The sequence below is a fragment of the Homo sapiens genome, chromosome 12, assembly GCF_000001405.40.
Source record: "Homo sapiens chromosome 12, GRCh38.p14 Primary Assembly".
In the NCBI taxonomy this organism is placed as follows: domain Eukaryota; kingdom Metazoa; phylum Chordata; class Mammalia; order Primates; family Hominidae; genus Homo; species Homo sapiens.
Genome location: NC_000012.12, coordinates 95,674,796 through 95,691,557, shown reverse-complemented (window position 1 = coordinate 95,691,557; position 16,762 = coordinate 95,674,796). Strand labels below are relative to the sequence as shown.

The 16,762-nt window shown below is 39.7% G+C and overlaps 1 protein-coding gene across 4 annotated transcripts in view; it reads left to right on the top strand.

The window, feature by feature from the left end:
- The window catches only part of NTN4 (netrin 4), a 133,349-nt gene that overhangs the window by 99,598 nt on the left and 16,989 nt on the right, over positions 1-16,762 (top strand). For all 4 annotated transcript variants that reach the window (NM_001329701.2, NM_001329700.2, NM_021229.4 and 1 more), the window contains exons 6-7: positions 7,847-8,060; positions 8,736-8,851. In NM_001329701.2, coding sequence (NP_001316630.1) covers positions 7,847-8,060; positions 8,736-8,851 — 330 coding nt within the window. The remainder of the gene's footprint in view (positions 1-7,846; positions 8,061-8,735; positions 8,852-16,762) is intronic.

Sequence of the window (16,762 nt, the reverse complement as noted above, 5' to 3'; positions counted from 1 at the left end):
CAGGCGTGGTGGCACGTGCCTGTAATCCCAGCTACTCAGGAGGCTGAGGCATGAGAATAGCTTGAACCTGGGAGGCGGAGGTTGTAGTCAGCCAAGATTACGCCACTGCACTCTAGCCTGAGCAACAGAGCAAGACTCTGTCTCAAAAAACAAACAAACAACAACAAAGACAAAGCTGAAGTTAAGAACTTCTGTCACTCTGGGTCATAACTTTGACATTTATTGTGAAAAAATAAGTTCTTGGGTTGCATTTTAGAATCAACAATTAGTAAGAAATATGTGTTGGGGAATCAGAACTGAACCAGAACCTGAGGAGATCCTTTTTCCTTCCAAACAAGAAGAAAATATGTTTGCATTTTGGAAGAAAATAAGAAAAGTAGATTGTATGTGTCAGATATTGACTGCTATCAAGCTTCAGGAGATAAGTATGCAAGGCAGACCTCGGTGTGAGTCTTGAAAAAGTATGCCATGAAAGATGTCAGGGCCTTCGGCCTGGAGCTAGTTCTGCATAGTTTCCAAATGGTATCTTTATCTTGTAATTATGTGAGAAGTCACGCTGACAGAAATCTACTAGCACATATGACAGAAACACATTCTTCTCTGGCCATTCCTGAAATGAGTGTAGCTTTTAAAATATATGGTAGAAGGGAGAGGTCAACTCCTGGAAATGCTTGAATTTTCTATTAGAGGAAAAGATAGGAGTGGTGGACTACCATATATTACCATAGAAGGGGTTCTTATAATATCTTTCTTCTGGCTAAATCTCTCCTATCTGCTTTAAGAACCAAATTGACTTGACTGAGTGATATAGTAACTATAGGTTTCGTCATCTCAAAATTATATAATTTTCATACTAGATTATGTGATTTCATTTTAAGTAATGTCTACACTGTTTTGAATATAGCATTTTGATATATTCATATTGCATATTATATAATCCAAATGAATTATTTCTTAATTAGAAACAAACCATAAATCAATAGTGCTTTGATACTTTAAGAGAAAAATGCCTAAATGTTCTCATAATAAAAACCAAGTGAAGAAAAAAATTAGGAAATTTAATGTAGAGACAGTGCTTATCATAACTGTATGAATATAAAGATGTTCTCCTTAGAACCTCAATGTTTTAGAGGCAAAATCTTTACTTTCCTCCGGTATAAAGATCTTTAAAATCTTGGAATAATTCTTTTAAACTTGGGATCTCTTTAAGGACCAAGACTGTTTTATTCAAGTTAGATCCCTAGCAATTTGCACAGTACTTAGCACATAGCAGGTGCTCATTAAATGTTTGTTGAGTAAGTGAATGGGTAAATAAACGCTGCCTTAAATATACACATTATTAGCCTTTCAAACAGTGTCTCCTATGCTGTTTTCCTCCATTGTCCTTTGTAAATAGTGCTTATATCATAGCCTTTTAATTCAGTTCAAGGGTCATTTTTGAGCAGCTGTAATCTACCATTTGCTAACGTCTTACTAAGTGCTAGTGACGTACATTATCTCTGGTTTAGTCCTCAACAGAACCTGGTAAAATAGAAATGTGGGGCTCAGAAAGGTAAAACAAATTTCAGCTAGGAGTTAAACTCAAGTCTGCCTCCGCTAAGCACTGCAGGGGATAGGTGAGTGAGGCCCATGCTCCACTTCAAAGAGCTTACAGACCGGTGTGATAGACAAAGAAAACCCCCAACTGCCTAATGCAAAGTAGAATGTGATCAGAGCTATAAGAAGAAATGTTTCTTTAAAGCACTGGAGGGTTACAAAGAAAGGGTAAATCATACTCAACTGCATTGGAATAAGGAATGATTTCTAAAATAAGGTGGACCTGTCCCTTGTGGGCAAGTGGAGCTACTGCTCTGGCTTCACATTTGGTGAGGTGGGAAGGGGTGGCAGAGGAAAGGGTGTTGAATCCCACTTTTCTTTTCTGAATATCATTGTATGTCAAAAGTTCTGTCTTTAACAAGGAAGATACCAACAGAGCTCCCACCTTGAGCACGCTAATCCCCCCAAATGGTTGAATTGCAGCAACCCTTAGGGGTGACATTAGATATAGGTTTTGAAGGACATATAGAATTTTGAAAGATTGTTATGGGAAGAAAGATTTCACTGTTGAAATTAATAAAGGCAAAGAAACAAGAAAGATGGAGGGTGTGTCTAGAAATTGTCCTAATTAATTAGAACAAGGGCTATATGCAAGAGAATAATGAGAGGAAGGACTGGAAAAGTAGGCTAGGCCTCTGCTATGAAGGACCTTACATGTTTGGCTAAGGAGTGACCACATTTTGGAAACTACAAATGCTTCATAAACATTAGAATTATTATTATTAACATTTGTTGGTTGAGTGAGTGAATCAATGAATGAGATTCTAATAAATGAATGAATATGAGGTTATCCAAGAAGATAATTCATACCTTTGGCAGAAGAAGCAACATTTCATGCTCTATTGTAGTGGTTCTCAATGAAAGAGAGCTTATGGGGAGGGGCGTGGGGGGAAGGTTGCACAGATGTTAGAAATTTTTTGCAAACCTCACACATTCATACTGGTTTGAGAACCTTGGCTCTAATGATTATTGGTTAAAGAGATGAAAGAGAGATCTAAACAGTAGCACAGTACACCATCAGGGCCTGTATTTCTCCAGCTTCTGTTCTCACAAAAGTCACCAATGACCTCCTGATTGATGGTGTTGCTGGCCTATTGTCCATCGTATGTGACTTGAGCATTCTGCACTGTTTGACACTGTTAACTGCTTGAAACTTTCTCATCCTTTGGCTTTTTTTTTTTTCTCCTCCTTCTCTACCTTCTCCTTAATAATCTTTTTGAAAGTTATTGCTCCTCCAACTGCCAGTACCTATGGATGTTTCCACCGTGTTCTATCCTTGATCATCTTCTCACTCTACACACCGTCCCTGGGAAGTTTCATCTAGCCCTCCTAATTTCAACTGCCACTGGGTGACAACTCTCAAAACTGTATTTATGACCCCAACTTTTCTCCTAAGTGTCAGAATGTTTCCAGGATATATTTAAGATAGCCTTTAAGCATCTCAAGCTTAATGTGTTTGATCCTAAACTCATTCTCTTTCCCTTCCTTCCCTATCTCCACCCTCAGCATGGATCTATCTGCCCCAACTTTCTCTAGTCCTCTCTTCTAGATCTTTGTGAATAATGTCACTAATTATTCAGTTTCATGAACTAGACACCTGAAAATCTTCCCCGACTTCTATTTGTCCCTCAACAACTCTTTCTTCCTCTTCCAGATGGTCTCCAAACCCTATCTGTTCTAACTTTAAAAAATAAGTTTTTCATATCCAAACTTACCTCCCATTCCCACACCTACTGTCTTAGTCATTTCCTTGCTGTCTCTCTTTTCTTTGATTATCCTGCCACCAGCCTCTCCCCACTCTAGTCTATACAATGCCTCCAAAGTGTCTGTCAAAATTCAATTGTAACCGTGCCATAATTCTGCTTTATAACTTCTTATGATTCATTATGCCCATAGGACAAAATTCAACCTCTAAAGCTAGGCAATTCCACAACCTGGAATCCTATTACCATCCGACCTGACTCTACAGCTTTTCTTCTGCCTCATCTCCTTCAACTGCTTTCTACTCAGTGTACACTCAGGCACACTAAACTTCTCACATTCCCCACATGGGCTCTTTCACATAGGATTCCCACAGCCTGGAATATCCTCCAGGTCAATTCCACAGATGCTGATTAGGGCATCTATGATGTACCAGACACTGTTCTGGGGCCCCAAAGACAAAAATAAGAAGATAAAGATCCTTCTGTCAATGAATTCAGACTCTACTAGTAAGAGAGATAGGCATATCAACAAATAATTATTTTAAGAAACTGTTTAGTGGCTGGGCGTGGTGGCTCACATCTGTAATTCCAGCACTTTGGGAGGCTGACTCAGGCAGATCACTTGACGTCAGGAGTTCGAGACCAGCCTGGCCAACATGGTGAAACTCCATCTCTATTAAAAATACAAAAAAATAGCCGGTATGGTGGTAGGCACCTATAATCCCAGCTACTTGGGAGGCTGAGGCAGGAGAATAGATTGAACCCGGGAGACAGAGGTTGCAGTGAGCCGAGATCACACCACTGCACTACACCCTGGACAGTAAAGCAAGACTCCATCACAAAAAACAAAAAAACAAAAAAACAAAAAAAAAAATTTTTTTTCACCAAATTATTTTTACATGGAATGTCTCAAACAGATTTAAGGCTGCAAACTTGTTAATTTTATAGTCATTTGCTTTTCAAAGTGAAACTCAGAAATACTTAAAAATAGCTGTAACATTTGCATTAGGAAAGATGATGTTTATTCCAGTTTGCATTTTTATGGTGAAATAAAATCCTTTTCCAATGGAAAAAATAATAATGATGCACTGTGATAGGGACAAAATAGAAATATATGCAAAGAGGCAGCTTAGAGGAGAGAGTGGCTAACTGTCTGGAGGGAGTGGGACAAGAAATCCTGTCAGAATCTAGATGGACAAGGTGGGGAAAGGCCACACAGGCATGGCCAAGGGCCAGGAGCACTGAGGCATCAGAGAGAGTAGCATTTCCAGGAAGCAGTAAGAGCTCCCACACAATGCAGAAACGTAAAATGCAGAAGGGATGAACGGTACACCCAAAAATAGCTAAGACGGTCAACTGTATAGTGTGTGTTTCTTACCACAATTTATTTATGAAAAATTTATTTTAAAAAGATGCACTGGGGAAAGTGTCTAAAGACTGAGCTGGAATCAGCAATTGCCTTCCTTGCCCTCCTTTTCTTTTTTCTTTCTTTTTTTTTTTTGAGACAGAGTCTTGCTCTGTCACCCAGGCTGGAGGTCAGTGGTACAATCTCAGCTCATTGCAACCTGGGCCTCCCAGGTTCAAGCGATTCTCCTGCCTCAGTCTCCCGAGTAGCTGGGACTACAGGCGTGCACCATCACGCCCGGCTAATGTTTGTATTTTAGTAGAGATGAGGTTTCACCATGTTAGCCAGGCTGGCCTCGATCTCCTGACCTCAAGTGATCCACCCGCCTCAGCCGCCCAACGTGCAGGGATTACAGGTGTGAGCCACCACGCCCAGCCCCTTGCCCTCCTTTTCAACTTGCAAACTCCTATTCATCTTTTATGAACTGGCTCAGATCGCTAAATGATCCCTCCTTTGTTGATCCCACCTGATTCCCTCAGCTTGTATTGCCTTCACCTTTCCTCTGTGTTCCCACAGTGCTTTATGTATACCTCTGTTACAGCACATCACATGTATGGAAATCTTTTATTTACTTCTCTGTTTCCCCCACAAGACTATAAGTTCCCTGAGGGCTGGCACCATTTCTCAGATAAACATAGGTCCTATATCTCTATAAGAATTATCTGATGGGCACAGTGGCTGGCACCTGTAATCCCAGCACTTGGGAGGCCAAGGCAAGAGCATTGCTTGAGCCCAGGAGTTCAAGACTGCCTGAGCAACATAGTGATACCCTGTCGCTATAAAAAAATAACAAATTACAAATTAGCCAGGTGTGCTGGCATGTGCCCATAGTCCCAGCTACTTGGGAGGCTGAGGTGGGAGGATCTCTTGAGCCTGGGAGGTCGAGGCTGCAGTGAGCAGTGATGTGCCATTGCACTTCAGCCTGGGTGACAGAGTGAAACCTTCTCTAAAGAAAAAAAAAAAGAATTATCTATTGGATTAATTAGTTAATTTAATTTACTATTAATCATGTACCAGACATCACACTAACTGCTTTGCACACATAATCTCTTTTTATCCTTACCACTGCATAAGGATAGTTCCTATTTTTATTGTCTTTACAGATAAGGGAACTGAGATGAGAGCCTAGGTATCTTGCTCAAAGTCACACAGTTAGTCAGTAGTGGAGATTTGAAGCCAAACTGATATTTTAAAGGAAAAATAATCAATAAAAGAAGTTTCCAAGGGGAAAAAGCAGAGAACAGGATTGAGAATATTAGTTGAGAAGGTGCAGCATGAAGAACTGGCTTCTTCAGTGTGTGACACTGTGCTATGCACCTTGCTGAAGTAGTTTCATTTAAAATCATGTCAACTGCATGAACTCTCCATGAGATGTAGATACCACAATAAGGAAACCAGGATTCAGGAAAGTTATATTTCTCACCTGAGGTCACAGAGGCTCTGGGAGGCAGAGCCGTCAACCAAGGTTTCTCCCAGCGTTTCTCACTTGATTCTCAGAGAAAGCAGTGGGAAGATGAAAAAGATTTTGAAATGGAGAAAAGATTATCCAGAGGACCCTCCCAGTGAATTAGAATCAGACTAAGTGGGTAGGTTGATTGAGAAGCCTAGGGAATTTCTGAGGCAGCCACTGTGAGAAATATTATTATTTTTTAATCCAGGAAAAATTGAATAAATAGAGTTGATGGGCTAGGCACAGTGGCTCACGCCTGTAATCAATCCCAGCACTTTGGGAGGTCGAGGTGGGCAGATCGCTTGAGTCCAGGTGTTTGGACCAGCCTGGACATGGTGAAACCCCATCTCTATAAAAAATACAAAAATTAGCTGGGCGTAGTGGCGTGTGCCTGTAGTCCCAGCTACCTGGGAAGCTGAAGCAGGAGGATTGCTTGAGCCCAGGAAGTTGAGGCTACAGTGAGTGGAGATAGCACCACTGCATTCCAGCCTGGAACAAGAAAAGACCCTGTCTCAAAAAAGCAAAAATAGAGTTGGTGAGCATTGGTTTGGAGATCCAACTGAAGTTAGGGCTCACGAATTTGTGATAAGCCCAGAAAGCACATTTCACACATACATATATATGAAAAGTGTATATATGTATGTATACAAACACATAGATATACACTTTGTTCAACTACTTTTGCCATCCCAAGAACAAAGAAACTGCTGCAGGTTGTCAGACTGTGAGCAATAAGTAATTCCAGGAGTAGGGAGAGGGCTGAGGAGAAGGACTTTTGACTAGTATTAAAGACTTACGGCCAGGCGCAGTGTCTCACGCCTGTAGCCCCAGCACTTAGGAGGCCAAGGTGAGAGGATTGCTTGAGGCCAGGAGTTTGAGACCAGCCTGGGCAACATAGCAAGACCTTGCCTCTACAAAAAAAAAAAAATTTTTTTTAAGTAGCCAGGTATGATGGTGCCGGCTTGTAGTCCCACCTACTCGGGAGACTAAGGCAGGAGGATCGCTTGAGCTCAAGAAGTTGAGGCTGCAGTGAGCCATGGTGGTACCACTGCACTCTGGTCTTGGTGATAGAGTGAGACCCTCTCTCAAAAAAAAAAGCAAAGCTCCTCAAAAGAGCTATCTGTTCACATGCTCAAATTCCTCTACTCCCATACTCCCCTGAATCCTCTTCCACTGGGTTTCCCTCTCACTATGTATTACACTGAAACTCTTCCTGTGAAGAACACCATCAGCTTTTGTGCTGTTCAAATGCAATACTCCATCACATGCCCCATCTTCTTTGACCTTTCAACATCTGCCACAGCTGATGCTGCCCTACTCCTTGAAACCTTCTTTGGCTTCCAGAACACTATACTCTCATGACGTCTTTTCCTTTCTCACTGAATCCTTCCACCCTGTCTTCTTTGCTGGTTCGTCCTCATCACCCCAACCAAAGGGCATTCATATTTCATGCCTTCCATATTAGGATAAATTATGTGTTTATTTTTGCAGCAGACATGCTTTTCTGATTATATCTCGCTTATCTGTCATTTAATTAGCTTTCATTCTCTGAGCATACACTCACTGGCTAAAGAAGGAGTCTCAGAAATATGCTGTGTGGTGAAGGGAAGCCACTTGGGGATGGTCAAGCCTAATGTTCACACGGGTGATCTACAGTCAGTCTTTGATCCTTGCGTGTCCTCTCTGTTGTAGCGTGTTCCTGCCATCCAGTAGGATCAGCTGTCCTTCCTGCCAACTCAGTGACCTTCTGCGACCCCAGCAATGGTGACTGCCCTTGCAAGCCTGGGGTGGCAGGGCGACGTTGTGACAGGTGCATGGTGGGATACTGGGGCTTCGGAGACTATGGCTGTCGACCATGTGACTGTGCGGGGAGCTGTGACCCTATCACCGGAGACTGCATCAGCAGGTGAATGTGCAAGGCTCTTGCTCTCAGCTGCATGTATTTCAGGCTCTTTTGAAAACCTATAGTGATTTGGAAAATCTTGCATTCTGTTAATGGAGCAAAGATGTATTTGCACATCTCTTTTAAAGAATTTTTGTCAGGCTGGGCGTGGTGGCTCACGCCTGTAATTCCAACACTTTGGGAGGCTGAGGCGGGTGGATCACCTGAGGTCAGGAGTTCGAGGCCAGCCTGGCCAACATGATGAAACCCCATCTCTACTAAAAATACAAAAAAATTAGCTGGGCATAGTGGTAGGCACCAGTAATCCCGGCTACTCAGGAGGCTGAGGCAGCAGAATCGCTTGAACCCGGAAGGCAGAGTTTGCAATGAGCCAAGATTGCACCATTGCACTCCAGCCTGGGCAACAAGAGTAAAACTCCGTTTTAAAACAAAACAAAACAAAACCAATAATTTTTGTCTAATTACAAACTCAAGTAATTTGTTCTTGCAAGATTCTAGAGATCATCTAATTCATTTTGCAAAATAATTATTGTCTTCACAATAGTTCCTTAAAACACTATTTCTGGAAAAAGGAAGAATGGGAAGGCAGAAGATAAGGTTTAAATCTCTATAGATTCATTTCTATACAAGTTCTAAAAAATTCCTGAATACGTTCTTTATCATGTTCTATTTTGTTAGCCACACAGACATAGACTGGTATCATGAAGTTCCTGACTTCCGTCCCGTGCACAATAAGAGCGAACCAGCCTGGGAGTGGGAGGATGCGCAGGGGTTTTCTGCACTTCTACACTCAGGTGAGATGGATGTAACCAGGCATCATATTTTCAGGTCTGGTCTTATGTAACAGTGATACGTGACAAACCAGGGTCCAGCTTTTGGATCCTATGAGGGGAACTCTTTAGTTCTGGGGTTTCATGGTATAATAAAGTAGTGACTCCTGTAAGTATGAAACTGTAAAATATAGCTAAGGGGTATTTTAACACATTTTTGTTTGTTTTCTGATGATTAGAGTAATATATGTAGTTGGTATAGAAAATTTGGAAAATGCAAAACATCATAGTAAAAAAAAAAAAAAAAGAGGTCACCCAAAATCTCATTATTCCACTGTTAATACTTTGGTATGTTTTTCTCACTCTAAAACACAGTTAAGAGCCTACTGAGTGGGGTGAGTATAATCCCAGCATTTTGGGAGACCAAGGCAGAAGGATTGCTTAAGGCTAAGAGTTCAAGACCAGCCTGGGAAACATAGCAAGAGTTATCTCTACAAAAATAAAAAGTTAGCCCAGTGTGGTGGTGCACGCCTGTAGTCCCAGCTACTTGAGAGGCTAAGGTGGGAGGATCACTTGAGCGGTCAAGGCTACAGTGAGCTGTGATCGTGCCACTGCATTCCAGCCTGGGTAACAGAGCAAGACCTTGTCTCAAAAAAAAAAAAAAAAAAAAAAAGCCTACTGAATATATTAGGTTTGGAAATTTACAGATCCATTGAAAGGAAAAATATTCTTATAAACCTAGCTTAACTTAATAGGTACAAAGCAAAAGCTAGATGTGAACTCCTTATGTTTATAGCTTTTTTACAACTAGAAAGCAAAAGTAATTCTACAAACTAAATATAAGCCAAATAATGAAGCCAAAAAAATCAAATTAATGACATTAACTGAATATGAAAAATGATTTGTACCAAAGCCAAAACACTGCTCACTACATAAATATAGCTCTTTGAGTTTACTCAATATGGGCTCCTCTTTCCTCTGACTCAATTTCCCTATGACATTGTTCTGTTTCTTCTTTCGAAGGGCATGCCATGATAGTGGTATGAATCCTCAGCTTCTGTGTTCATCTTGCCTCTATTCTCTTCTTGTAGAAAAGCAAGTGATTATACTTAGCACTAACTTGCTCCTTAACACAAACTCAAATGTGGGCATGAAATATTGCGTCAACACTTGGCTATAAAGTGCTCACCAAATGCTCCAAATTAAACTCACATCAAGTTAAATATATTTTATTATGAAACATTACAAGTAGTAAAAATGTTATGCAATGAGCACCCATACACACCTTCAAAGGGTTAGCAAATCTCACACTTTGCCGTAATTGTTTCATATTCTCATTTAGGTTATAAAATGTTACAGATGCTTTTGAAGTCCCCGATGTACCAGCCCCAAGCCCAGTTGCCTCCCTTTGTCCACAGAATAACCACAATGGTGAACTTGGTGTTGATCATCCACTTCCATGTTTTTATTACCTATATATATATTGAGTATTTCAGAATTCCATGCACATGATATCTACTCTTTTTTTTTTTTTTTTTTTTTGAGACAAAGTCTCACTCTGTTGCCCAGGCTGGAGTGCAGTGGCACAATCTTGGCTCACTGCAACCTCCGCCTTCCAGGTTCAAGCAATTCTCCTGCCTCAGCCTCCCAAATAGCTGTGATTACAGGCACCCACCACCACACCTGGCTAATTTTTTGTATTTTTAGTAGAGATGGGGTTTCACTATGTTGGCCAGGCTGGTCTCGAATGCCTGACCTCATGATCCACCCACCTCGGCCTCCCATAGTGCTGGGATTACAGGCGTGAGCCACCGCGCCCGGCCGTTATATACTCTTTTAAAATGTTTTTGGTAGCCAGGCTTGGTGGCGTGCACCTGTAGTACCAGCTACTCAGGAGGCTTAAGCAGGAGGATCACTTGAGCCCAGAGGTCTGAGACTGTAGTGCACCATAATAGCACCTGTAAATAGCCACTGAACTCTGGGACAACATAGAAAGAGCCCATCTCTGAAATGTAAATAAGCAAAACATTTTTTACCTGATTATGTAGTTTTTTGAGGTTTATCCATCTCAAAAAAATTCATATAAAAGCGGTTATGTGAATATACCATTTTTATTCTCTCGTTTGTTTGCCATTTAGGATATCTCCAATTTCTAATTTTCCACCATTATAAATAACACTGCCGTAAATGTTCTCTTGTATGTGACTTTGTGCACTTGAGAAGGTGTTTCACCAGGCCAGGGGCTGGCAAACCACAGCCCTCAGGCCAAGTCGGCCACCTGTTTTTCTATAGCTTGCGGGCTACCTGCCCTAAGAATGGTTTTCACAGTTTTAAATGCTTACACTTTAAATGGTTATAGAAGTACCTGTCTTTATTCTTGGCCATTCAGGTTTCCTTTTCTGTGAATTTCCTATCCATAATTTTCTTACGAATTTGTAGTAGTTCTTTATAAATTTATTCATTCATCCAACAGATATTTATTAAGTACCTCTGTCATGTGGCAGCGCTGTAAATAAAGTGAACAAAACATTAAATCTCTGCTTCTGTGTCTCCTACATTCTAGTGAAGGAAAACAGCTAATAAACAAATAAAGTATTTAGTATGATGAATGTTTAGTGTAATAGAAAAATAATGCAGGGACAGGGAATAAGATATGTTTTAGAGGGACATACTTTTAAATAAGGTGATCAGGGTAAGCCCTTTGAAAGGTGACATTTGAGGGGAAAAAAATTCTGAAGGAGGTAAGAAGGCTAGCTATACAGGTGGCAGAGAAAAGAGAGTTTAGGCAGAAGATACAGCAAGTCTTTAAAGCCCTGAGGAGGAATTCAGGAAACAGCAAGAAGGCCAGTGTGGCTGGAACAGAGTAAGCTGGGAAGACAAGTGGAAGAGGAAATATAACGAGGCTGCAGAGGCCACTATGAGGACCTTGGCTTTCACCTGGAGTAAGATGGAAGCCATTGGAGCATTTCAAGCAAAGGTGTGGCATTTAGAGTAACACCCATCAGCATGGTTGTGTGTTTTCCCTAGTCACATTCAGCACTGTGGATGTAGGCATACACAAAGAGATGACTTTAAGCTGGGTTGAGGTTTTTCCAAGCAAGAATGAAGCAAGAGAGGGCAATAATTGTTCATAGAATTTAAACTGGGTAAATAGGGATGTGAGGGTGAAATGAGGTAGGGTCAAGGATTACAGGGTTTCAAAGGATTGTTGGAGTTGGAAACAAGCTAGGATGGGATGTAGAAGTCAAAGAATGAGATGCTTGAAATTGAGACTGGAAGAGTAGCAGTTATCGATAATGGCGATGTCTAAGATATGGTCATGGGAATGAGCAGCTGAGGCCATTATCTGTAATGCTACCTTATCATATATCAAGTTTCTATACATGAATGGATCTGTGTCTTGTCTATCATGTTTCATGAGCCAATACCACAATATATTATTACAGTTTTATAATGAGTCCTGATATCTGAGATGGCAAGTCCCTTCATTTCATTGTTCTTTCTTAAAATTATCTTAGCTATCGGTTCTTTGCCTTTCGTGTGAATTTTAGATTAAGTTTATTAAATCCCACAAAAGGCTCTGTTGGGATTTTTATTGCAATTGCATTGACTTTATGGATCATTTTGAAAAAAGTGATAGCTTTGTAATATTGAGTAGTCCCAAACATGAAGATACCTTTCTATATATTAAGGTGCTCTTTAAGGCCTTTCAATAGCATTTGTCACTTTTCTCCAAAATGGTTTTACCTGTCTTTCATTAAATTTACTCCTAGATACCTTTAGATTTTATTGCTATTGGGAAAGTGTTCTTTACCTGAATTTTTAAAATGATTCTTAAAAATCATTTTTTATGGCTGCATAGTATTCCATGGTGTATATGTGTCACTTTTTTTGTATTTTTAAATGATTATTGATATAAAGGATATAAATGTATATGTGTCACTTTTTTTTTGTATTTTGAGCTTGTATCCAGCGACTTTGCTGAACTTGTTTACTGATTCCAGTATGTATGGATTATCTTGGATTTTCTAATGTAGGCCATCATATTATTGACAAATAAGGACAGTTTTGTCTCACTTGTGTAGTTCTCATGCATCATTTTTTTTTACTGCAGTACAATGTTTTCCCAAATTTGATGGAAATAGTTTGAAATTTTCACCACTATAAAACTTGATATCGATTTTTGATAGGTAGCCTTTATCAAGTAAATGTCATTCTCTTCTATTTCTAATTTTATCGTTAATGAGTTTTGCTTTTAGCTGAATGCCTTCTCTGCATCTTTTGAGAAAATCAGATGGTTTTCCTCCTGTAATCTATCAATGTGGTATTTGAAAATAATTTTTTTCCGGTATCAAACTATTCTTTTTTTTTTTTTTTTTTTACTTTAAGTTCTAGGATACATGTGCAGAGTGTGCAGGTTTGTTACATAGGTATACATGTGCCATAGTGGTTTGCTGCACCTATCAACCCCTCATCTAGGTTTTAAGCCCTGCACGCATTAGGTATTTGTCCTAATGCTCTCCCTCCCCTCGCCCCCCACACCCCTAATAGGCCCCAGTGTGTGTTGTTCCCCTACCTGTGTCCATGTGTTCTCATTGTTCAACTCCCACTTATAAGTGAGAATATATGGTGTTTGGTTTTCTGTTCCTGTGTTAGTTTGCTGAGAATGATGGCTTCCAGCTTCATCCACGTCCCTGCAAAGGACATGAACTCATCCTTTTTTATGGCTGCGTAGTATTCCATGGTGTATATGTGTCACATTTTCTTTATCCAGTCTATCATTGATGGTCATTTGGGTTGGCTCCAAGTCTTTGCTATTGTAAATAGTGCTGCAATAAACATACGTGTGCAGGTGTCTTTATAGTAGAATGATTTAGAATCCTTTGGGTGTATACCCAGTAATGGGATTGCTGGGCCAAATGATATTTCTGGTTCTAGACCCTTGAGGAATCACCACACTGTCTTCCACAATGGTTGAACTAGTTTACACTCCTGCCAACAGTGTAAATGCATTCCTATTTCTCTACAGCCTTGCCAGCATCTGTTGTTTGTCAGAATGGCAATTATTATCAAGCTATTCTTTTAGTCTTAGGATAAGTTTTATTTGCTGTGATGTATTTTTATTCATACGTTGCTGAATTTGATCTGCTAGGGTTTTTATCTTTCATTTATTTATTTGCTTGCTTAGGATTTTCATATTGATGTTTATAACTGATATTGGCCTATAATTTAATGTATTGCATTGTATATTTGAGAAAGTTAGGAGGTCCCCTTACCCACTACGTTTTTTTTCTATTCTCTGCAATTATTTATATAAAAATAGAATCATCTGTTACTTGAATTTTTGTTAGAATTTATCTATAAAACCATTGAGACACAGTGTCTATGAGTAGACGAAAGTATTACTGATTCAATATCTGTCATGGTTATTAATTTGTTTTATTTGTGATTTGGTGTTGGTAATCAAAGTTTTCTAGAAAATTACCGATTCTTTTTTTTTTTGAGTTGGAGTCTCACTCTGTCACCCAGGCTGGAGTGCAGTGGTGCAATCTCGGCTCACTGCAACCTCTGCCTCCCGGGTTCAAGCAATTCTCAGCCTCCCAAGTAGCTGGGACTACAGGCGCATGCCACCATGCCCAGCTAATTTTTTGTATTTTTAGTAGAGATGGGGTTTCACAGTGTCAGCCAAGATGGTCTAGATCTCCTGACCTTAAGATCCACCCACCTCAGCCTCCCGAAGTGCTGGGATTACAGGCGTGAGCCACCTTGCCCAGCCACCAATTATTTTAATTTTAAAAAATTGTATTGGCATAGAGTTATACATGGTATTCACTCATAATTTATTTAACCTTTACTCAATCTGTCCTTAATCTTCTTTTTGTCCCTAAGCTTATCTGTGCCTTTTTTCTTATTGTCTTATACTGATCTTAATTTGCTTCTCTCAGAGATTAACTTTTGGTTAACTTGATCCAACCTATTTAATTTTTCTTTATTTCACTAATTCTGCTCTTATCTTTATTTTTTTTTTATGTTTTCTCTAAGTTTGCTTTTTTAGTCCTTTTCTGCCTTTGTGAGTCCAGTGATTATTAACTCACTTACTTTTAGTCTTTCTTATTTTTAGCAAGTACTCTTAAGGTTATACATTTCCTTATAAGATCTTTTAGCTGGATCCTATTGGCCTTTATATGTAGTATCTTCATTATCATTCAAGTTCTAATGTTTTTCTAATTTCCATTAAGAATTTCGCTTTAATCCATTGAGTTGTCTAGGATATTTAATTGTTCAAACATCAGGGTTTTTAGAATATTTTTTTTTTTTACCCGGGGCTGGGCACAGTGGCTCACACCTGCAATCCCAGCACTTTGGGAGGCCGAAGTGGGTGGATCACCTGAGGTCAGGAGTTGGAGACCAGCCTGGCCAACATGACAAAACCCCGTCTCTACTTAAAAATACAAAAAAATTAGCTGGGTGTGGTGGCGCGTACCTGTGATCCCAGCTACTTGGGAGGCTAAGGCAGGAGAATCACTTGAACCTGGAAGGCAGAGGTTGCAGTAAAGTGAGATCAGGCTACTGCACTCCAGCCTGGGTGACAGAGGGAGACTCCATCTCAAAAACAAAAAAACAAAAAAGAATATTTGTTTACTGATTATCTCTAATCTAATTTCATTGTATTATATCTATTCTTTGAAAACCAGGAGGGCAACTTGGATTCATTTCTAGGTCACTTAAGGACTAGCTACATAATTTGCAGGACTAGATGCTGGATGAAATGCAGAGCCCTTTTTAAGAATGTCATCAAGTGGCCATGAATAATAGTTTGGAGTTTTGTGTACGTGGTTGGTTTATTGTTTTTTCCCAGCCTCCTTTCATTAGCAAGGAGAGCCTTACCCAATCTGTCTTTAAAAAGTGAGTCTGACTGTGATCTCTTTTTTGTCCTATTAACTCCTTTGTATCTGAACTCCTGACCACTGCTGCCTGATTCTGAAAGCGGACCCCAAAGCCCTATCCCCCGAATGCACATTCATTCATTTCTTTTCTTTCTTTACATTTTTTTTAAATTCAAGAAGTATCAACAAATTGAAAACATTCATTTCTAGTCCACAGAGATAAATATCTAGTTTTTGATGCAGGCTATGTCTTTTTTTCCGTCCTTTATCTAATATTGCTATGTGCTTGGAGCTGAGGATGTGCTGAAGTATGAATTCACAAAGTTGTGTTGATTGAGAATGTCTGTGATAATTTTCCCAACATTTTATTATGAAAAATTTCAGACATCCAGAAAAGTTTTAGAAGTTGTGCATTCACATACCCGCCACCTAAATTCTATCCACCCATCAATCCACATTTTAGATCAGAAAGAAATCACAGTTTTAAAACCTTCTCATAGAGAACATATGGACCCTTCAAGAATCAAGAACCTAAATCTGAGAAACAAGGTTATTTGCCCATCTGTATCATGGTTTTTTCACTTAACATAATCTCGTGATAATTTTCCTAATGGCTTCATGTTCAATCACAACAGGAAAGAAGGTGCGAAAGAGAAGGCAACATGAAGTTATCATATTTATCTTTTCAGCATTTGAAAAAGAAAACAAGTCTTTACTATGAATTTTTTTTGCCTTAATGCTATGTAGTCTGGAATTTTATGATTTTAACTTTAATAGCCACTTTTAAAGGTGTTCTTCTATTTTTCTAAGCACACAATGACTTTTTATAATTCTCCAAGTTTGCTAAACCAAATCTGTAATAATCCAGTTTTTAGGACTATAGGACATTCACTAAGCCCATCATGCATGTTATTAGAGAGTTGGCAGCATTCCAGCCAAGCACATAAAGTGCTGGCACCAGAATGACTGCAGACTCTCATGTCCACAGCAGCTGTTAGGTCTGTGATGTCCCCAGAGAGTCTCTGAAATTCATCTGGATGAACGCCAG